The 22,877-nt window shown below is 38.6% G+C and overlaps 3 annotated features.

The window, feature by feature from the left end:
• Positions 1,755 to 2,371: an enhancer, noted in NCBI's record as "H3K27ac-H3K4me1 hESC enhancer chr9:13697592-13698208 (GRCh37/hg19 assembly coordinates)". NCBI's record gives its function as "activates a minimal SCP1, AML or CMV promoter by ChIP-STARR-seq in primed H9 embryonic stem cells {active_cell/tissue: H9 hESC(primed)}" and the evidence as "EXISTENCE:reporter gene assay evidence [ECO:0000049][PMID:30033119]".
• Positions 2,372 to 2,989: an enhancer, noted in NCBI's record as "H3K27ac-H3K4me1 hESC enhancer chr9:13696974-13697591 (GRCh37/hg19 assembly coordinates)". NCBI's record gives its function as "activates a minimal SCP1, AML or CMV promoter by ChIP-STARR-seq in primed H9 embryonic stem cells {active_cell/tissue: H9 hESC(primed)}" and the evidence as "EXISTENCE:reporter gene assay evidence [ECO:0000049][PMID:30033119]".
• Positions 10,898 to 11,438: an enhancer, noted in NCBI's record as "OCT4-NANOG hESC enhancer chr9:13688525-13689065 (GRCh37/hg19 assembly coordinates)". NCBI's record gives its function as "activates a minimal SCP1, AML or CMV promoter by ChIP-STARR-seq in naive H9 embryonic stem cells {active_cell/tissue: H9 hESC(naive)}" and the evidence as "EXISTENCE:reporter gene assay evidence [ECO:0000049][PMID:30033119]".

Below are 22,877 nucleotides of genomic sequence, written 5' to 3'. Positions count from 1 at the left end.
TTTGCACATTGATTTTGTATCCCCGTTACTGGGTATATACCCAAAGGACTATAAATCATGCTGCTATAAAGACACATGCACACGTATGTTTATTGCGGCACTATTCACAATAGCAAAGACTTGGAATCAACCCAAATGTCCAACAATGATAGACTGGATTAAGAAAATGTGGCACATATACACCATGGAATACTATGCAGCCATAAAAAATGATGAGTTCATGTCCTTTGTAGGGACATGGAGGAAGCTGGAAACCATCATTCTCAGCAAACTATCGCAAGGACATAAAACCAAACACTGCATGTTCTCACTCATAGGTGGGAACTGAACAATGAGAACACATGGATGCAGGAAGGTGAACATCACACACCGTGGCCTGTTGCGGGGTAGGGGGAGCAGGTGGATAGCATTTGGAGATATACCTAATGTTAAATGACAAGTTAATGGGTGCAGCACACCAACATGGCACATGTATACATATGTAACTAACCTGCATGTTGTGCACATGTACCCTAAAACTTAAAGTATAATAAAAAAAAAAAAGAAAATCAGAAAAAATAAAAAACTTTCTGGAACTAATAAGCAATTATGGAAAGGTCACAGAATATAAGATTAATACACAAAATTTCATTGCTTTCCTATACACCAGATATAAACAAGTGGAATTTGAATAAAAGACAAAAAGCTATTTATATTAACACTAAACAAATGAAATATGCAGGTATAAATTTAACAAAATATGTATAATATCTATATGAGAAAAAGTGTAAAACTCTAATGCAAGGTATCAAGGAAGAATTAAATGAATGGAAATGTACTCTATGTTCATAGATAGGAAGGGTCAATATTGTCAAGAATTCTTCCCCACTTGATCTATAGATTCAGTGCAATCTCAGTAAAAATGAGCAAGTTATTCTGTGAGTTTTGACATACCGATTCTAAAGTTTATATGGATAGGCAAAAGACTCAGAGTAGCCAACTTAGTATTGAAGAAGAACAAAGTAAGAGGACTGACACTATCTGACCTCAAGACTTACTACAAAGCTGCAGGAATTGAGACAGTATGGTATTGGCAACAGAAGACAAACAGATTAATGGAATAGAATAGAGAGCCCAGAAATAGACCTGCATAAATATAATCAATGATCCTTGTCAAAGAAACAAAAGCAATATACTGGAGCAAAGATAATTTTTTCAACAAATGCTGCTGGAACAATTGGACATCCTCATGCAAAAAATAATAATCTAGAAATAGGCCTCACATCCTGCACAAAAATTAACTAAAAATAGATCACAGATCTAATAATGCAAAACTATAGGACTCCTAAAAGATATATGGAAGAAAATCTTGATGACTTCATTATGGCAATGGCTTTTTAGATACAACACTCAATGAGCAATACATGGAAGAAATAATTGAGGGGGTGGAAGGAAAGATGATGGACTAGATGCAGTGAGGTGGAATAGCTCCCACAGAGACCAAGATGACTGCCATGCTCCTAACAGATCTTCAGAGGGAAAGCAACAAGAGTGGATAGAGGGAAGATATGGAAGCTGAGCTGAAGGGGGAAGAAGGTGGGAACCATACACAGGGCTACAGGTTACTGTGCAACCAAATTTTTTCCTGATTCCCAACCACTCCAGGGGAATGACTGAGTTGACCAGGCAAGGAGCAACCCACTAGTGCCACGGGCCTCTAGATCCCCAGCAGGAAGAGACCCCTCAACCACCATGGACACTTGAGTTGGCAGGGAAAGCAGATTAGACATGTGGTAGGAGCAGTAAACCAGCTGATGTGTAGCCCAGAGGGTTTGGTGTGGGACCATCTGTAGTGGAGCACAGCCAGGGAAGGCTGTCCCCTTAGGCTTGACTTGCTCCCATAAGTGACTTTAGCCCTAGGTGAACTGTTGGACCCTCTGCAGGGCAGTCTTGTCCATCAGATGGGGTTGGTCTGACCTGAGCACTACTTGGTCTGGTGGCCTCTCCTGGGGTTCCAGCCAGGCCACATGTGTTTGCAGGACAACCCCGGGTGCCACATCATAGCAACTGAATTGGTTGACTATGCCTGACCAGCACAGAGCTCCAGCAAGGTGGCCCCTGTGGCTACACACCAGCCTGCGTAATTCTTCCCTGCACTGCAGCTTCCCCCAGGCCCATGGCATCTCCCCACATCATTTTGCTAGCACATGGTCACATGGACAGGTTTTGCTTTCCTTGCCCTTCCAGCGTGCAGGAGTGCAGTTCATCTGTTCCCCTCCCCTGCACACCACCATTGCAGACGGAGCCTTGGCTGGGATACAGCCAGGCAGCCCCATCCCCACCAGCATCCTGCCCTTGTGCTCACACTGCCATGGGAGTGAATCTAGGCACAGAGAGTAGCAGATCCTCCCCAAACCTGAGCAACCACTCCTGCTTGCACAGCACAGAGAAGGCAACCAAATCTCTGCCCACCAGTGCTCCACCCCTTGGCAAACACTACCACCAGCACCACTGCACACACAGTTGCCAGCAAGTCTCCCTGCCCTCCCCCGAGCTGTGTTGCCTCCACCACTGTGGTGAATGCCCATAGGAAGGAAGGCAGCCTGGCACCCACTAGCACCTTGCTGCAACTGCCGCAGGCACATGCCAACAAAGATGGATCCTATAGTCATCGCACTACAAAATGCTTTGGCTGACATCAACCATCAGAGTGTAGTGACCAGCAGTCTGGAAACACCTCGGCCTCTATCAGCACAGTAAATTCCTAACCTAGAGGAGCCAGGAAATAATGTCAGGACCCAGTATAAGTCCTCTGCAGTTAGAGCACACAGTTCAGGAATTGGGAGCTGGGCATTGCCCCCCGCCTTAAAATCCTTCAGAAATGAAGCCAGTCAGCTGAATCCACCTTATTCCACAATCAAACCCTAAAGATCTTCAAATAGGAAAAAAGAAAAAAATATTCATCCAAAGGTCAGCAACCTCAAAGATTGAAGGTAGATAAGCCCACAAAGGTGGGAAAGAACCAGCACATGAACCCTGACAACTCAAAAATCCAGAATGCCTTATTTCCTCCAAACGACCACATCATTTCTTTAGCAAGGGTTCTGAACCAGGTTGAGATGGCTGAAATGACAGAAATAGAATTCAGAATATAGATAAAAATGAAGATCATTAAGCTACAGGAGTACATTGAAACCCAATCCAAGGTAGCTAAAAATGATGATAAAACAATGCAGTACCTGACAGAAAAATTTAGCAAGTATAGAAAAGAGCATAACTGGCCTGATAGAGCTGAAAAACACACTAATAGAATTTCATAATGCAATTAAAATTATTAATAGCAGAATAGACCAAGCAGAGAAAAGGATTTTGAGCTGGAAAACCAACTTTCTGAAATAAGTTAGGCAAGAATAGAAAAAAATGAATGAAAAGGAATGAACAAAACCTCTGAGAAATATGGGATTATATAAAGAGACCAATCTACAACTCACTGGTGTCCCTAAAAGAGACGAGGAAAATGGACTCAACTTGAGGGTATCATCCATGAGAAGTTCTCCAACCTAGCTAGAGAGGCCAACATTCAGAAAGTGCAGAGACCCCCCAGTAAGAAACTTCACAAGAAGATCATCGCCAAGACACATAATCATCAGATTCTCCAAGATCGAAATGAAAGAAAAAATGTTAAATGTAGCTAGAAAGAAAGGTCAGGTCACCTAAAAAGGGAAGCCTATCAGACTTAACAGTGGACCTCTCAGCAGAAATCCTACAAGCCAGAAAAGACTGGGGGCCAATATTCAACATTCTTAAAGAAAAGAAATTAGAATTCAGAATTTCATATCTGGAAAAACTAAACTTCATAAATGAAGAGGAAATAAGATCCTTTTTAGACAAGCAAATGCTGAGAGAATTTGTTACCACCAGACCTGCCTTATAAGGGCTCCAGAAGGAAGCACTAAACATGGAAAGGAAAGATCGTTACCAGTCACTACAAAAACACACTGAAGTACACAGAACAATGACACTTTACAACCACATAAACAAGTCTGCGAAATAATCATCTAACATCAAGATGATTGATAGGATCAAATCCACACATATCAATACTAACCTTGAATGTAAATGGGCTAACTGCCCCAATTAAAAGGCACAGATTGGCAAGCTGGATAAAGAACCAAGGCCCATTGGAATGCTGTCTCCAAGAGACCCATCTTATGTACAATGACACACCTAGGCTCAGAATCAAGAGGTGGAGAAAAATATAACAAGCAAATGGAAAACAGTAAAAAGCAGAGGTTGTAATCCTAGGTTCAATCAAAACAGATTTTTAAACCAACAAAGATTAAAAAAAAAGAGGGGCATTACATAATGGTAAAGGGTTCATTTCAACAAGATTTAACTACTCTAAATATATGTGCATACAACACAGGAGCACCCAGATTCATAAAGCAAGTTCTTGGAGACTTTCAAAGAATCTTAACTCCCACACAAAAATAGTGGGAAGACTTTAACACCCCATTGACGACTTCAGACAGATCATTGAGACAGAAAATTAAGATATTCAGGACCTGAACTCAACACTAGATCAAGTAGACCTGACAGACATCTACAGAACTACTGACCCAAGAATAGCAGAATGTACGTTCTTGTCATCACCTTATGGCACATATTCTAAAATTAATCACATAATCTGAAGTAAAACACTTCTCAGCAAATACAAAAGATCTGAAATCATAACAAAAAAATCTTTCAGACCACAGCGCAATTAAATTAGAAACTGAGACTAAGAAATTCACTCAAACCAATACAATTACATGGAAATGGAATAATCTGCTCCTCATTGACTTTTAGGGAAATAATGAAATTATAGCTGAAATCAAGAAGTTAGTTGAAACTAATGAGAACAAAGACAAAACATACCAGAATTTCTGGGACACAGCTAAGGCAGTGTTAAGAGGAAAATTTCTAGCACTAAATGCCCACATCAAAAAGTTAGAAAGATATCAAATTAATAACCTAACATCTCAATTAAAAGAACTACAGAACCAAGAGCAAACCAATCTCAAAACTACCAGAAGACAAGAAATAACCAAAATGAGAGCTGAACTGAAGGAAATTGAGACACAAAAATACCGCTCAAAAGATCAATGAATCCAGGAGCTTTTTTTTTTGGAAAAAAAATAAAATAAAATACATAGATTGCTAGCTGTTGTTTGGGAATAGATAGATAGATAGATAGATAGATAGATAGATAGATAGATAGATAGATTGCTAGCTAATAAAGAAGGAAAGAGAAGATCCAAATAAACACAATCAGAAATGACAAGGGGGATATTACCACTGACCCCACAGAAATACAAATAACCTAAGAGAATATTATGAATACCTCTACACACATGAACTAGAAAATCTAGAAGAAATGGGTAAGTTCCTGGGCACATACACCTGCCCAAGACTGAACCAGGAAGAAATTTAATCCCTGATCAGACCAATAACAAACTCTGAAATTGATTCAGTAATAAATAGCCTACCAACCAAAAAGTCCAGTACCAGCACCAGATGCATTTACAGCTGAACTCTACCAGATGTACAAAGGAGAGCCGGGACAATTTCTACTGAAACTATTCCAAAACATTAATGAGGAAGGACTCCTCCCTAACCCATTTTATGAGGCCAGCATCATCTTAATGCCAAAACCTAGCAGAGATATAACAACAACAACAAATCCCAATATCATTCATGAACATCAGTGAAAAAATCCTCCACAAAATGCTAGCAAACTGAATCCAGCAACACACCAAAAAGCTTATCCACTAAATCAGGTAAACTTTATCCCTGGGATTCAAGGTTGGTTCAACAAACATAAATCAATAAACATGATTCTTCACATAACCAGAACTGAAGACAAAAACCATATGATTATCTCAATATATGCAGAAAAAGCTTTCAATAAAATTCAACACCCCTTCATGTTAAAAACTCTCCATAAACTAGATATCGAGGAAACACACCTCAAAATAATAAGAGCCATCTAAGGGAAACCCACAGCCAACATCGTAATGAATGGGCAAAAGCTGGAGGCATTCCCCTTGAAAACCGGCACAAGGCAAGGATGCTTTCTCTCACCACTCCTATTCAACACAGTATTGGAAGTCCTGGCCAGGGCAATCAGGCAAGAGAAAGAAATAAAGGGCATCCAATTAAGAAGAGGGGAAGTCAAATTATCCCTGTTTCCAGAGGACATGATTCTATATCTAGAAAACCCCATAGTCTCAGTCCAAAAGCCCCTTAAGCTGATAAACAACTTCAGCAAAGTCTTAGGATACAAAATCAACGTATCACTGGCATTCCTATACACCAACAATAGTCAAGATGAGAGCCATATTAGGAATGCAATCCCATCCACAATTGCCCCCCACCCCCCTAAAAATAAAACACCTAGGAATACAGCTAACCAGGGAGGTGAAAGATTGCTACAATGAGAACTACAAAACATTGCTCAAAGAAATCAGCAATGACATAAACAAATGGAAAAACCTTCCATGATCATGGATAGGAAGAAACAATATTATTGGAATGATGATACTGCCCAAAGCAATTTATAGATTCAATGCTGTTCCTATCAAACTACCAATGACATTCTTTACAGAACTAAAAAAAAACTACTTTAAAATTCATAGGGATCCAAAAAAGAGCCTAAATAGCCAAGGCACTGCTAAGCAAAAAACAAAGCTGGAGGTATCATGTTACCTAACTTCAAACTATAATACAGAGCTACAGCAACCAAAACAGCATTGTACTGGTACAAAAACGGCACATAAATCAACGGCAATAGTCAGAATAGAGAGCCCAGAATTAAGGCCACATACCTACAACCACCTGGTCTTGAACAATGCTGAGAAAAACAAGCAATGGGGAAAAGACTCCCTATTCAATAAATGGCACCTGGATAACTAGCTAGCCATATGTGGAAGTTTGAAGCTGGACCCCTTCCTTATACCATATACAAAAATCAACTCAAAATGGATTAAAGGCTTAAATGTAAAACCCAAAACTATAAAAACCCTGGAAGACAACCTGGACAATACCATTCTAGACATAGTAATGGGCAAACGCTTCATGACAAAGATACCAAAAGCAATTGCAACAAAAGAAAAAAATGACAAATGGGATCTAATTTAATGAAAGAGCTTCTGCACAGCAAATAAAACTATCAACAGAGTGAATAGACAACCTACAGAATAGGAGAAAACTTTTGCAAACTATGCATCTGACAAGGTCTCATATCCAGTAATATATAAGGAACTTAAATAAATTTACAAGAAAAAAACAACTTTATTAAAAAGCAGGCAAAGGACATAGACACTTTTCAAAAGAATATATACATGTGACCAGTGATCATATGGAACATAGCTCAACATCACTGATCATTAGAGAAATGCAAATTGAAACCACAATGAGATAACCATCTCACACCAGTCAAAATGACTATTATTAAAAAGTAAAAAATAACAGATGCTGGTGAAGTTGTAGAGAAAAAGGAACACTTATACACTGTTGGTGAAAGTGTAAATTACTGCAACTATTGTGGAAAGCACTGTGGCAATTCCTCAGAAATACCATTTGACTTGGTAATCCTATTACTGGTCACATACCCACCCCAAAACAAATTATTATATTATAAAGACCCATGAATGTGTATGTTCATTGCAGCACTATTCACAATACCAAAGACATGGAATCAACCTAAATGCCTATCAATGGCAGACTGGATAAAGAACATATGGTACATATACACCATGGAATACTATGCAGCCATAAAAAGAACATTATGTTTTTTACAGAAACACTGATGAAGTTGGAGGCTATTATCCTTATGAAACTGATGCAGCAACAGAAAACCAAATACCATGGTGTTCTTACATATAAGTGGGGGCTAAATGATGAGAACACGTGGACACTTAGAGGGGAACAACACATACTGGGGCCTATTGGAGGGAGGAGGACGGGAGAAGGGAAAAGTTCAGGAAAAATAACTAATGGGTACTAGGCTTAATACCTCCATGACAAAATAATCTGTACAAAAAAAAAACCCATGACACAAGTCAAACAAACTTGCACATGTACCTGCACAAACTTATACATGTACCCCTGAACTTAAAAATTAAATTAAAAAAAGAAAGAATTGATAATATGGACTTCATTAAAATGGAAATTTCTGATCTGTGAAACTCAATGTCAGGAGCATGAGAAGACAAGCCACAGACTGGAAGGAAATATTTGCAAAAGACATTTCTGATAAAGGACTATTATCCAAAATACACAAAGAACTCTTAAAACTCAACAATAAGAAAGTAAGCAACCCAAATAAAAATGGGCAAAAGACCTGAAAAGCCACCTCACGGAAGAAGATATACAGATGGTAAGTAAGCATGTGAAAAGATGCTTAATATCATTTATTATTAGAGAATTGCAGATTAAAACATCAATGAGATACACACCCAATAGAATGGCCAAAATTCAAAACACTGACAACATCAAATGCTGGTGAAGATGTGGAGCAACAGGAATGTGCATTCATTGATGGTGGGAATGCAAAATGGTACAGCTACCTAGAAAGAGAGTTTGGCAGTATTTTACAGAACTAAACATGCTTTTACCACATGATGCAGCAATTTTGCTCCTTGATATTTATCCAAATCAATTAAAGATTTGTCCATACAAAAACCTGCACAAGATGATTATAACAGATTTATTCATAATTGTCAAAAGCTGGAAGCAACCAAGATGTCCTTTAGTATGTGAGTAGATCAATAAATGATGGTACATCTAGACAATGACATATTATGCACCAAAAAGATTGAGTTTTCAAGCCTTGAAAAGACATGGAGAAAACTTAAATGATTATTACTAAGTGAAAGAAACTAATCTGGAAAGACCATATACTGTATGATTCCAACTATATGAAATTTTGGAAAGAGCAAAACTTTGGAAACAGTAACAAGATCAGCAGTTGTCACAGGTTAGGAGGAAGGAAGAGATAAATAGGCAGAGCACAGCAGATTTTTAGGACAATGAAACTATCCGATATGCTACTAAAATGGTAGATACATGTCATTCTACAGTTGTCAAAAACCCACAGAATGAGCAATACCAACAGTGAATTCTAATATAAACCATGGACTTTGGGTGATGATGAGTCAATGTAGGCTCATCAATCATAACAAATGTATTATGATGGTGCTATGAGGAGAGTAACAGTAGGGGAAGTTGTGTGAGTGTGGAGACAGGGTAAATGCAAACCCTGTACTTTGTGCTCAATTTTGCTGTGAACCTAAAACTGCTCTACAAAATGAAATTTATTAATTAAAATGTTTAAATAATTTAGATGCTTCCTATTTCAAATTTTTAGCAGAATATTCATAATAGTAATCATATCTTCAGTGTCTATAAAATTTTATAATACACGTGCATACAATTATATGCATTATATATTATATAACATATATTTATAATATGATATATATGGGTTATATATTATGTTATCTATATCATATGTTCTATAATATATGGTATTTATAATATATATGAATATATTTTTTACATAATGCATATAAATAAGCTAATTGCATTTATGTAAAACTATCCTAAAACTTAGGCTTTAATACAGACTTCTAAATTCTAATTAAATGATAATAATTAAACGCATTTATAAAGAGTCATAACTTGGCAAGGTACTTTTTGTGCCCACACTACCCTAGGGCCCTTTGAGGTAGGATCATTTTCCATATCTATTTTTAAATGAGTAAACAAAGTCATAGGAAGGTGAGTAACGATCTCAGAGCTACTCAGAGTCTCATAAGTTCTGCTAAGTTTAGACCTAGACATCTGTGAGCTTGAAAACTGTGTAAGCCCAGTTGGCTAGCTGGCTAACTTTGCATGAGTCCCTTAGGCTCAGACCATGCCCTTCATGTGTGAGAATTGCTTTATGTTATCTCTAGGTGCCCTTCCAGTCCACTTATTTATGTGGCTAGTAGGATGGAAAAGGGCCAATTACAAAAGTAAGCGAAAGGGCTTTTTTTCATCATTTACCTTACGTGAGATGTGAAGTTTAGAGGGAGAACTGCCCTCTGGGTTGATTTATTACCAAAGTTCCTGGCTTCTTCATCCCCACCAACTCCCACACTGGGAGAGGTAGAGGAACATCACAATCTAAGGATGAATTGAGAGCAAATCACATTAAGGATGCAACTTGAAGAATTTCCTTCTGTCAGCAAAGATCCAAGACCTTGTAGAAATTACCCTAACATGAAAAGTTTCTTTCAAGAAGAGATTTCCTAAAGTTCTTCACAGCAAAGCTCCACTAGGCTAAAAGCCATGGCTCTTGTTTGTTCCTACAGGGTGTTTCAGTTACAAAGTTGTTCATGTCCTTAATGTTCTCAATTTGATTCTCAACACCAACCTGTAAGATGGAGAGGAAAAGGCTTGTAATTCCCGTTGTACAGTTGAAAAAAACCTGAAAAATTAGAGAAAAGCATTTTCCCAATGTCATTGTCATAGTAAGTGGTGGAGTTGTAGAGTTTTTGACTCTTAGTCTAATGCTCTTTTCATGGCACCAGAAGTATTTGGCTTACAGACTGTTTGAATAGCTGGAGAACTGCATAAACCAAGTGATGTCCATGGACACTATGACATGGCACTATATTTCAAAACTACCAATGGGAAGAGTAGGAATGGATGTTATTTCCAATCTGAGATAATAGGTCTGAAACTTCTGGAAGCCCCTAGGCCAGCAGGTGGAGCCTCTTGTCATGCTTTTTTCCAAAGGCAGGGAGAGATTTTTTTTTTCTTGTTTTTTCAAAAACAGAAAACAATATATACATTATTAGTCAACTAGATCAGGACAGAAGAAAGGTTTTTATGCCTTTACATTTGTTTAAACTTTCCTCAGGTGCTGAGAAGGAGGAAGCTCATGTTCATTGGCCTGGAGATTCAAGTACACACAGAGACACAGAGGCATTCCAAAAAGGAACGTGAGGGTTTTGTGCAAGGCATAGGACAGTGAATATGCTCGGTGAGGCATGCAAACACAGCAAAGGAATGAAGGAGCTGCACATGGAGTGGTATGCACTTCTAAACAGCTTTCAGCAGGCCTTGGATCCACAAACAGCAGGAGACAGCCTTTCTCTATAAGAAAGGACAGTTGGAGCCCGAATGTTACTCTGGTAAACAACAGCCTGAGCCATGTGAGGAAGTGATTCCCCTTTCATACAGGTTTGCATAACATCTTTCCTTTCCCCTGGAGACGCCAGAGAAGCAGCCCTGCTCTTTGGTTCTAGACATACACATTCCTTTGCCCTGTATGCCTTTAGTGCCATGAGTAGGTCATCTTTTCCACTCCCTTCCAAAATATTTTGTTTTCCATCTCTCCCTTCTTTTCCATGTTGCTTTGAGAAAGATCCAAAACTTCCTCCTTGGTTTCTTTAGCTGTTTTTTGTTGTTGTTTCAAACCACAGCCTAAATTTAAACCATGGCTCAGGAGAGGCAACTAACTGGTGGTTATGGGTGTGGCTTCATTGTGGCCTTAGAAACAATTACCTTCAGCCAGTCTTAACCTGTGTGCAGGTAAATATAGGATACCTCTAAGTTCTATCACAGAGGCATTGTCTAGAGAATTTAGGGAAGAGCTTTCTAACTTGGGTCCTTCTTGCTTTTCTAATTTTTCTTTTTTGTTTTGCACCCCACCCCCCCCAAAACTTGCTTTTCTAATTTATTTGGCCAAAGACAGTCAGAGGAATCTTCCTAAATATTAATAGCTTTTATCATAATACTATTCTGTCCAGAAGCCTGAAATACTTCAGCTCCCCTCTACCGTTTATCTCTAAGATGATGAATTAACTGCTTAGCCTGACCTATGGTACCTCCAATGTCTGGTCTCAACTTACCTTCTCAGTCTTCTTGCCCATTTTTTCATTATAAACCAGCCTGGATGACTTATTTTCTTTCATATTCTTTCTTCCACCTCTTGGTTGCACCTGTCCCTCTTTGAGTGACCTCTTCATTCCTGTTAGTTTATCTGATATCTTCCGATGTTTGTTCAAGGTCCAGCTGAATATCTCCTTTTCAATGAAGGCTTTCTCAATTTCTCTACATTGCATCTCTACTCCCCTGCTTTGAAACTAAGAGAATATCTATTTTACTCAAATAACACTTCATATTCTGGCCTGTGTCCTTTTAGTCCCTGTATAATTGCTTTTGTTGAACTGTGGTCTGCTATTATACCACTATCCCACATTAAAAAAAAAAAAAAAAACTTTATGAGAAACAACCCAGCAAAAAGCACTGTGAAATATATTGTATGGATGTTATTGGGGACATGATTTGATATATTTTACAGTGTCTTTTTCATGCAGGCCCGTGGGGAAAAATGTCTCTCAGTCCTCAAAACCAAGAATAGGTGGCCTTCTCCTGAGCTGCTATTTTGTTTTTATCTTGTGATCATCATGAGTCATGTCTCCCTCTTTTTTTTTTCTGAGACAGAGTCTCGCTCTGTAGCCCAGGCTGGAGGGCAGTGGCACGATCTCGGCTCACTGCAAGCTCCACCTCCCAGGTTCACGCCATTCTCCTGCCTCAGCCTCCCGAGTAGCTGGGACTACAGGCATCCACCACCATGCCCGGCTAATTTTTTGTATTTTTTTTAGTAGAGACGGGGTTTCACTGTGTTAGCCAGGATGGTCTCGATCTCCTGACCTTGTGATCCACCCACCTCGGCCTCCCAAAGTGCTGGGATTACAGGTGTGAGCCACCGCGCCCGGCATCTCCCTCTTTTCATAGACTCAGAGCCAGAATTGTAGCCCACCACAAGTAACAAGTGACACTTAATGTCATGTATTTGGCGGGGGTTGGGGGGGCGGTGCTTGGGTGCAGTAATAGCATTAACTTTGGCTTATTTTTATTTCCTGTCTTTATTTTTCTTTCCTCCAGTTTTCTCCCTTATTTATTTTACAATCTGGTAATTGTGCATATCTTTGTAAAAAGGTTCAAATCATTTTTGGAATTGTATGAGGATATATATACATGTAAAACAAATAATTCCTTGCCTTACTTTTTAATCTTAAAATGTACAGAAATCTTAAATATGTAGATTGAATTTTTACATATGTAGATACCTGTGTAAGCACCACCTAGATCAAGACATAGAACATTCCAGAGTGCCAGAAAGTACCAGTTCCTTTCATTATTAACTTATCTTTTCATGTGACTCTGTGTATCTTGGCTCCACAGCTATTCTGAATATTGTTTGAGGATAAGACTGTAGCTATTTGTACCCTGCAGAGAGCCTAATAGGGTTTCTGGAGCATAGTAGGTAATCAGGATGTAGTTATTGACTGAAGGAAAGGACTTGTTCCAAAAAAAGGAGATATGGTTTGGCTGTATTCCCACTCAAATCTCATCTTGAATTCACACGTATTGTGGGAGGGACCTGATGGGAGGTAATTGAATCATGGGAGCAGTTCTTTTTCATGCTGTTCTCATGACAGTAAGTATCACAAGATCTGATGGTTATTATAAGGGGGCGTTTTCCTGCACAAGCTCTTTTTGGTTGCTGCCATCCATGTAAGATGTGACTTGCTCCTCCTTGCCTTCTGCCATGATTGTGAGGCTTCCCCAGCCACATGGAACTGTAACTCCAATTAAACCTTTTTCTTTTGTAAATTGCCCAGTCTTGGGTATGTCTTTATCATCAGTGTGAAAATGGACTAATACAGAAGGAGATGGCTAAGTCCCAGTGCTGACCCAGAGCACTTTGTGCAGCCCTCAGGTAGAGATCAAAAGCTGTCTGTCCTGTTTGTCCCTGGTGCTCTAGTCTCTGGTACAGGGCCTGGCACTTTGTATATATGTTCTTTATGGACTTAAATATATATCTGCTTAACTGAAGAAGCCTTTTCATATCTACTACTGTCTCAGTTGGATGGTGTGTGAGTAGTTTTTCTAATTCTGGAAACTGGGCTGGAAAAACTTGCCATGCTATCACTGAGCATATTTCCTTGAAGGATATGTCTCTGCTGCTCCCTATTCTGCCTTCTAAATAAATGGAAAGAACAGGGGACCCCAATGAGTACCTGCCAACTGGGGTTAGTAATCTCTGCCACAGTGGCATGCCCTCCCCCGACCCAAGGATGGTTTAACCTTCTGTTGAAGAATAAATATGGGAAAAGCATGTGTACCAGGAAATGGGCGCTCAGTAGGCAGCCCAAGGCACCACCAGCTCATTATTTACTAACTTTAATGCCTTGGCAAAAAGAAATCTGTAGACAGAGATGAGAAGACTCTTTGTCTCTTTGTGCCTAAAGACTGCTTACTCCTGGACACTGAGAGAATAGTCTTGATTGAGAATTTATTTTGGGGTGAATGTTTCCACATCAAGTGAGTGAGAAAAACAAAAACAAAAACAAAAGAAGCACATATTATTAGCAATAATGGAAATAAACAAAGCAAATTTTACAAGAATGATTTTAATTTATTTTAGTTTTCACTCTCTGGGCCATCTGGGAAAACTCTCGTCCCAGAGAAAAACTGAGTGACAAGAAGGGTGGGGAAAGTCATTGGAATGGAAAACTAGGCCAAGGGGAAGAAAAGAAATCATGGAAGTAGAAGACTAGTGGATGTGGCAACTTCAATGACAAGTGTTGGACTCAAGTCTATTGCTCACTTCTGCCTGGGAATTCATCAAATTTCTTGAGGCCTCAGTCTCCTTACTTGTAGATTAAAGGATTGTACAATAATCTGTTTGGTCTATTTTCACTTTGAAACAGAAAAATCTCTGATTCTATGTTGTTTACAGTAGTGCCCCCCCATACCCACAGGGGATTAATTCCAAGACCCCCAGCAGATGCCTGAAACCATGGATAGTATTGAACTATGTTTTTTCCTATACAGTCACACTGTATAGGGTGGGAAGCACACAGAGTGTGGATATACTGGACAAAAGGATGATGCACATCCCTGATGGGACAGAGCAGAACAGCATGAGACTTCATCATGCCACTCAGAGCAGCATACAATTTAAAACTTATCAATTGTTTATTTCTGGGATTTTCCATTTAACATTTTTGGACTGCAGTTGACTGTGGGTAACTGACACCACTGAAAGTGAAACCAGAGATAAGGGGGACTACTGTGCTTTTTTCCCCGAGGATTCAAGACCACGTGATTAACAAATATTGTGGTTTATTTTCACCAATTTCTTTTTCCCTAAGATAAAATGACTCTCCTTTATCTGTGGAAAGTGACAAAGGAAGGAAGTACTGTTTAATAGGTAATCCTGCAATTCCTATAGCTGATAGAATAACAATAGGTTTGTCCCTAATTTGATGAGTTTAGGGTTGCTTTTTTCTAAAGGCAGAAATTTTGTTGATGGGGACTTAAAGCAGAGGAGACCCTTTTATAGCAAGCTTCTTGAAAGGAGGCAAAGAAGATAGAATTTATATGTTTTAGCCTTGATGAAATATAACTCAATCTTTGCAAAACGAATTGTATATATTCATTGGAAAAAACAATAATTAGCTCAGGCTGGAGGTCAAGAAGTCTAGCTCCAATTCATAGCTCGTCAAATAGCATGGTTAACTTTTTTTTAGCTCAATATATCCTGGATTACTAGCTTTCTGTTACTAATCTGCCATTAAAAAATAAGAATGTAAACAGGGAAAGGTAATTGTACCAACTTTGGATATTGGAGTATTTTGAAGTTTTTTTTTAAATATGTATTTACAAATAATATTCTCCTTCTTTCAGGAAGCTTCTAAACATCAAGTTAATCTTTTTACTACTCCATTCAAATTTTATTCCTAGGAATTCAGTGTCTTGTAAGTTTTAATTCTGTGAGTGCTGCACTTGGGGAAGACAGAATGAAGAAAGGCCTCTATACCTACTGATGCCTGATATGGGCCAGGAATTGAGTTAGACCTTTCATATACATTTCATTCATTTTACTCCCAAAACATGTCTGGGAGATACATATTATTCTCATGTATTCAACAAATACATATTGAACATCCATGTGTGTCAAGAACGATGCAAGGTGCTGTGGACTGAATGTATGTCCCCACCCCCAAATTCATATGTTGAAACCTGATTCCTAATGTGATGGTGTTTGGAGGTGGGACCTTTGGGAAGTGATTAAGTCATGAGGGTGGAGCACTCGTGAATGGGATTAGTGTCCTTATAAAAGAGGCCCCAAAAACTGCCCCATCCCTTCTGCCATGTGACGACACAGAAAACAGAAAGCCATCTATCAACCAGGAAGTGGGCCCTCACCAGACACTGAACCTGCGATGTCTTGATCTTGGATTTCCCCAGCCTCTAGAGCTGTAAGCAATAATTTTCTGTTGTTTATAAGCCAGCCAGTTGTGGAAATGACTAGTGTGATATTTTGTTATAGCAGCCTGAACAAGCTAAAACAAAGACAACAGGTACATAGCAGTGAACAATAAAGTCCCTGCCTTCACGGATGCTAAAAGCATAGTAGGGAAGATAATCTATAAGCAAGTAAATCAACAAAATAAATACACTGCTATAAATTGTTATACCTCCTGCAAAGAAAATATGAAAGAGTACCGTGACAGAGGGCAATAGTGGGAGATGATCTAGGATCAGTGATCAGAGGCCTCTTGAAAAGGTAAGAGCTGAAAGATGAGAAGTGGCCAGCCATGTGACCAGCTACAAACATGTGTTCCTGTAGAAAAAAAACATGCAAAGGCCACAGGGTGGGAAAGAGCACACTTTAAGTCACTCAAAGAATACCTGTGTAGTAAGAACACACTAAGTGAGAAGGAGTAGGGTGGTGCTAGACAGGGAACACAGGCTCAGAAAAGGCAAATATTCCATATTCACCCAGCTAGGAAACAGGCCAGCCAAGAATGGAAGGCAGCCTGCCTGGTTCCACCACTCCATCTCTCCTGCCATCCTGCCACGGTAGATAGACACTCATATATAGAAACTAGTTTAAACGATTTGTTTTTTCCTGCTTTTTCACAATTTTAAACTTTAAAAGGCTAATCCAGGTTTTTGCAAATTGCTCTAGCTTTTTGAAGGTATAGCCATGGGTTGGACACAGTCAACTAACAAGTTACTTCTAGAAGTCTTAAGTCTTGTTTGCCCGCTTCCTAGATGACTTGGTTTTTGATGCCTCAGTGTGTGCCACTATTGTAAGAATGAATCTAGAAGGAGTCTGCTTTTGTAGCCAGTAAGGTGAGGGGGTGTCTCAGAAAAGCCTAGGGAGCACTTGTGATGTGTAGAGAGAAGGAAACCTTGTTCAGGCTTCTGTATATAAGAAAAATGGCTAGTGTGGCTTCTCTGTTCTGGTCACTAGATTCCCAATGGCAGTGGAAGGTGGATAATTTTTACTTGACTTCACCAGGCATGGTAATGTTTTTGGATCTTATAAAATGGTAGAGTTACTTAAAAATGACTGGTCTCACTCTCTAGAACAATCTCTATACTCTTTATTAAGTAATTAAACATAAACTCATATGACTAGAGAATGATTCTGTTATTAACCCCAGGCCCTCATTACTTGAGAACTAGTATAAGGTTTCACCACAAATGACAAAGGGACATGCTCCTTTCTGGGTCCTGCTTCCCTTGTGTTGTAATCTGTGGTCCTACGCAACCAGGAGCAGGGGGTTTGTATTCCCCGACTGCAGTGCTTGCAGTTCGTATTTTAAAGTACAATTTCTGTGTTTATGTAACTTTGGCTATATCTGTTCCTATTCCTATTGCTTGAGCTCAGATCCATGCGCTCTAGAACTTAATGAAGTGTGTTTTATTGCCAATGTAGACTGCAGGTGCCTGCTAATGCCATAGAGTGGCTTGTGGAAGGCTGTGGTGGGTGAGATCTTATTTACCACCCTGGATTTCAGTGTGTAGAAAACAACTACTGGTGTCAGTAGAGCAAAGCTTCTGGTCTGATAGAACATCAAGAAATACTTTCATAATCTTTTTCTTTTAATTCAGGCCAAACCATTCATGTACCAAGTGGCTGTGACATAATATAAAGAGCTTTTTACTTCTTTCCTTGCCTATGGTTGAAGCCTATGACCTATTCAATTAATTTCCACTTACTTCTCATTCTGCTCCTATTTTCACTAACTCTTTGTCCTTCAGTTTCATGTCCCTCGCCCTGGGACACAAAACATAATTGGGCTTCTCTGGCTTTCAGCTTTGGCCCTCTTTCTTGGACAAGATTCACCTCCTGTCTATGTTTCAGCTACTTCAGATAACCAGCCCATGTTATCCTGATCCCAGGAATTCTCAAAAATGGGACAGTTTGACCAGCACTATAACCTATTTCTCCACCAGAAAAAATAAAACAAAACCTTTTCCTATATTGCTTTCTGGCATTTCCCAAAGTATATTATTTTGACTACTAGTACTGCATCATAATATAATCCATAGACATGTGTCACACCTGTGTTTATAGTCATGCCTTGTTTTGAGATAAACTTTATTGTGCTTTGCAGATACCGTGTTTTTTTACAAAATGAAGATTTGTGACAATATTGTGTCCATAGGCACCATTTTTCCAACAGCACATGTTCACTTCCTATCTCTGTGTAACATTTTGGTAATTCTCACAATATTTCAAACTTGTTATTATTATATCTGTTATGGTGATCTGTGATCATTGATCTTTGATGTTACTCTAGTAATTGTTTTGGGGCTCCATGAACACCCGTAATTAAGATGATTAACTTAATAAATGCTGTGTGTGGTTTGAGTGCTCCACTAACCAGCCATTCTCTCATCTCTCTCCCTTTCCTTGGGTCTTCTTATTCCCCAGGACACAAAAATACTGATATTAAACGAATTAGTAACTTTACAATGCCCTGTTAAGCGTTCAAATGAAAGGAAGACTGGCATTTCTGTCACTTTTAATTAAAACCTAGAAATGATTACTCTTATTGAGGAAAGCGTGTCAAAAGCCAAGATAGGATGAAAGTTAGGTCTCTTGTACCCAACAGTAACATAACTTTTGAATGCAAAGAAAAAGTTCTTGGAGGAAATTAGAAGTGCTACTCCAGTGAATACATGGATGATAAGAAAGCAAAGCAGCCTCATTGCTGACATGGAGAAAGTTGCAGTAATCTGGGTAGAAGATCAAATCAGCCGTAACATTCTCTTAAGACAAACCAATCGAGAGCAAGACCCTAACTTTCTTCAATTCTATGAAGGCTAAGAGAGGTAAGGAAGCTGCAGAAGAAAAGTTGGAAGCTAGCAGATTGGTTCATGAGGTTTAACGAAAGAAGCTGGTTTAAGGAAAGAAGCTATTTTCATAACATAAAAGTACAAGGTGAAGCAGCAAGTGCTGGTGTAGAAGCTACAGCAAGTTATCCAGAAGATCTTGCTAACATTATTGATGAAGGAGGTTACACTAAGCAGGTTTTTAATGTAGATGAAACAGCCTTCTATTGGAAGAAAATGCCATCTAGGACTTCCATAGCTAGAGAGGAGAAGTCAATGCCTGACTTCAAAGCTTCAAAGGACGGGCTGACTCTCTTATTAGGAGCTAATGTAGCTGGTGACTTTAAGTTGAAGCCAGTACTTATTTACCATTCTGAAAATTCTAGAGTCCTTAAGAAGTATGCTAAATCTACTTTGCCTGTGCTCTATAAATGGAACAACAAAGCCTGGATGACAGCATATATGTTTATAATATGATTTGCTACATATTTTTAGCCCACTACTAAGGCCTACTGTTAGGAGAAAAAGATTCCTTCAAAACATTACTCCTTGTCGACAGTGTACCTCATCAACCAAGAGCTCTGATGGAGATGCACAAGGAAATTAATGTTTTTTTCATGTCCAGTAATACAGCATTTATTCTGTAGCCCAGGGATCAAGGAATTACTTAAACTTTCAAGTCTTAGAATTTAAGAAATACGTTTTATAAGTCTATAGCTGCCATGAATAGTAACTCCTGTAATGGACCTGGGCAAAGAAAATGGAAAACCTTCTGGAAAGTGTTCACCATTCTATATGCCACTGAGAAAATTCATGATTCATAAGAAGACGCTAAAATATTATTAACAGGAATTTGGAAGAAGTTAATTCCAAACCTCCTGGATAACTTTGAGGGGGTTCAATACTTCAGTGGTGGAATTAACTGCTGATGTGGTGGAAACAGCATGAGAACTACAATTAGAAGTGGAGCCCAAAGATGTGACTGAGTTGCTGCTCTCTAATGATAAAGCTTGAACAGGTGAGGAGGTGCTTCTTACAAATGAGCAAAGAAAGTGGTTTCTTGAGATAGAATCTACCCCTGGTGAAGATGCTATAAACATTGTTGAAATGACAATATATTACATAAACTTAGTTGATAATGCAGTGGCAGCATTTGAGAGGACTGACTCCAATTTTGAAAGAAGTTTCGTTGGGAGGCCAAGGCGGGTGGATCACCTGAGGTCAAGAGTTCGAGACCAGCCTGGCCATCATGGCAAAACCCCGTCTCTACAAAAAAATAAAAAGAAATTAGCTGGACATGGTGATGGGTGCCTGTGATATCAGCTACTTGGGAGGCTGAGGCAGGAGAATCGCTTGAACCCAGGGGGCGGAGGTTAGAGTGAGCCGAGATTGTGCCACTTCACTCCAGCCTGGGACACAGAGTGAGACTCTGTCTCAAAAAAAAAAAAAAAAAGAAAAGAAAAGAAAGAAAGAAGTTAGTTCTGTAGGTAAAATGCTATCAGTGAGCATCACATGCTACAGTAAAATCGTTTTTAAAAGAAAAGTCAATGGGTACAGCAAACTTCACTGTTGTCATTACATGCACTGGGAAGTCAAAAAATTCATGTGACTTTCATTATTGCAATACATTATTGTGGTGGTCTGGAAATGAACCTGAAATATCTTTGAAGTATGCCTGTAATCAGTTTTAAAATATGGTGCAGAGACCTGAATTTTATTTCCTGTTGGCAATACGCAATGTACATTATCAAAATTAAAACCCTAAGAATTATTGGAGAAAATTTTGAAATATTTAGTGTATTTTACCACAAATTTTCCAAACTTATCTATGAATGTTATTTTCAAATACTCATAATAATGCTGCCACATAATTATAGTATCCCAAGAATCATACTTTAGAAAATGTTACTGCGTGGTAACTTCCTTTGTGATACTATTAAATTATTACTGCCCCTTATAGGTACAAAAGCCTGGTGATTTGTATTTAAAGTATTCCATCCTCATTTACCTGCGAGAAAATCTCTAGCTTCTCTGGCAATCTAAATATTAAGCAAAAAATATTTAGATAGAGGGAAAATCTATGGGTAAATTAAAAATTTTAAGTGCTTATAAAATTATAAACCGGTGTGTGCAATCTCAAGACCTCACTGCTGGGCTCTTGAAGGGTACAGGAAGCCTTCTCTACAACCCATTATTTTCAAACCAACTCCAAACTCACCTTCAAAATTAACGTTCATACCTAGCATAGGAGACAGAGTGATCTTCATTCCCAATTCCCTCCCTGGTAATAAAATAAATATTCCAGAGCTAAGATTATACAACAATATTGTTAAGAAGAAGAGTATAAGTTTTGGAACTCAATTGAATTTAAGCCTTTTTGTGTCTCCTATGACTATGGAAATAAGACTATTGTGTAAGAAAGGAGTGAAGCTGTACTTGAGAAGAAGTATCTCATTTTTTCTAATTAAAGCAATTTTATGATAAGTAAATCAATTTGGAAACAATTTTGGATAGAAATATATGAACAAATGAATGAGCCAATAAATACATGTGTTGATGTTGTTGGGATTCAGCCTTGCCACTGAGAAGAGAAATAAAAATGTGGAGGAGCAAAGGCAATGAAGTACTCTGTGGTGGTGAATTGGAATTGGACATGCTGATGTGAACTCATAATTTCTAAAGTGTGGATATAAATGTATAATATATAGCATGAATGTATGCATATGTCTGTGCATGTGTGGGTGCATATATGTATGCATATTTGTACGTTTCTGAATGAATTTGTATATATACATGTGCATATTTCCTAGCTCTGTCTTCTGAAAGCATCAAGAAGCAAAGACATTCCAGTTGGGCATGCCTAGTCCCAAACTTTGGTCTCTAATACTATTCACCACTAAAAGGACTCCAACTCCTTGGCTAATTCCAGGGCTCAGGCAGGGTAGGTATGGATGATCCTAGAACATTTTGTTCTTTTAAAAGTTAGACTAGGGCTCAAAAACTAAGAGATGGATACCAAAAGGACAGAGCCATATGAATAGGCTCCTTCTTGCCAAATCTGGAGCAATTTGATCATCAACTATTTAGTACTTGAATGAATTATAAACTATTAAAAATAGAAATTCCTTAGTCCATACCAATAATAAATAGATAAATAACTAAATAAGTGGGAAAGAAAGCAGAGTCCTTGCTTATGGTATGTTGCTGAGAGTCAACCGGCAAATGTGTAGGATGAGCTAGTCTTGAAAGATTAGCATTTTGCAAACATTGATGACTGCCAAATTATGATGAAGAGCCAGATACTTGAATCATCTTGAAGGATTTCCCCTACAAACTGCTGATGAGTTTCAAGAGAAAAAAAATTATACAGTGGAGAAATCAGGTAACACTTTGGGTGATCAAAATTAATATCAATGAAAGGCAGAAGGCCATTGTGTATATCCAGATTGATCACCTGTGCTGTCATCTTGCTGAAAATAGAATGTAATCATAAGAAAACATCAAACCCCAAATAAGAAACAATCCCTATTTTTTAAAAAAAGGAACATGATTGTATTCTTCAAAAATGAAAGGGTCATGAAAGACAAAGAATCTTGGGATATTTCAGATTAAGGGAGATGCAAAAGACATGACAACTAAATGTGATATGTAAATCTAGA

The sequence above is a fragment of the Homo sapiens genome, chromosome 9, assembly GCF_000001405.40.
Source record: "Homo sapiens chromosome 9, GRCh38.p14 Primary Assembly".
Classification (NCBI taxonomy): Eukaryota; Metazoa; Chordata; class Mammalia; order Primates; family Hominidae; genus Homo; species Homo sapiens.
Note: the sequence above shows the minus strand (reverse complement) of the source record. Positions and strands in the feature narration are given on the sequence as shown.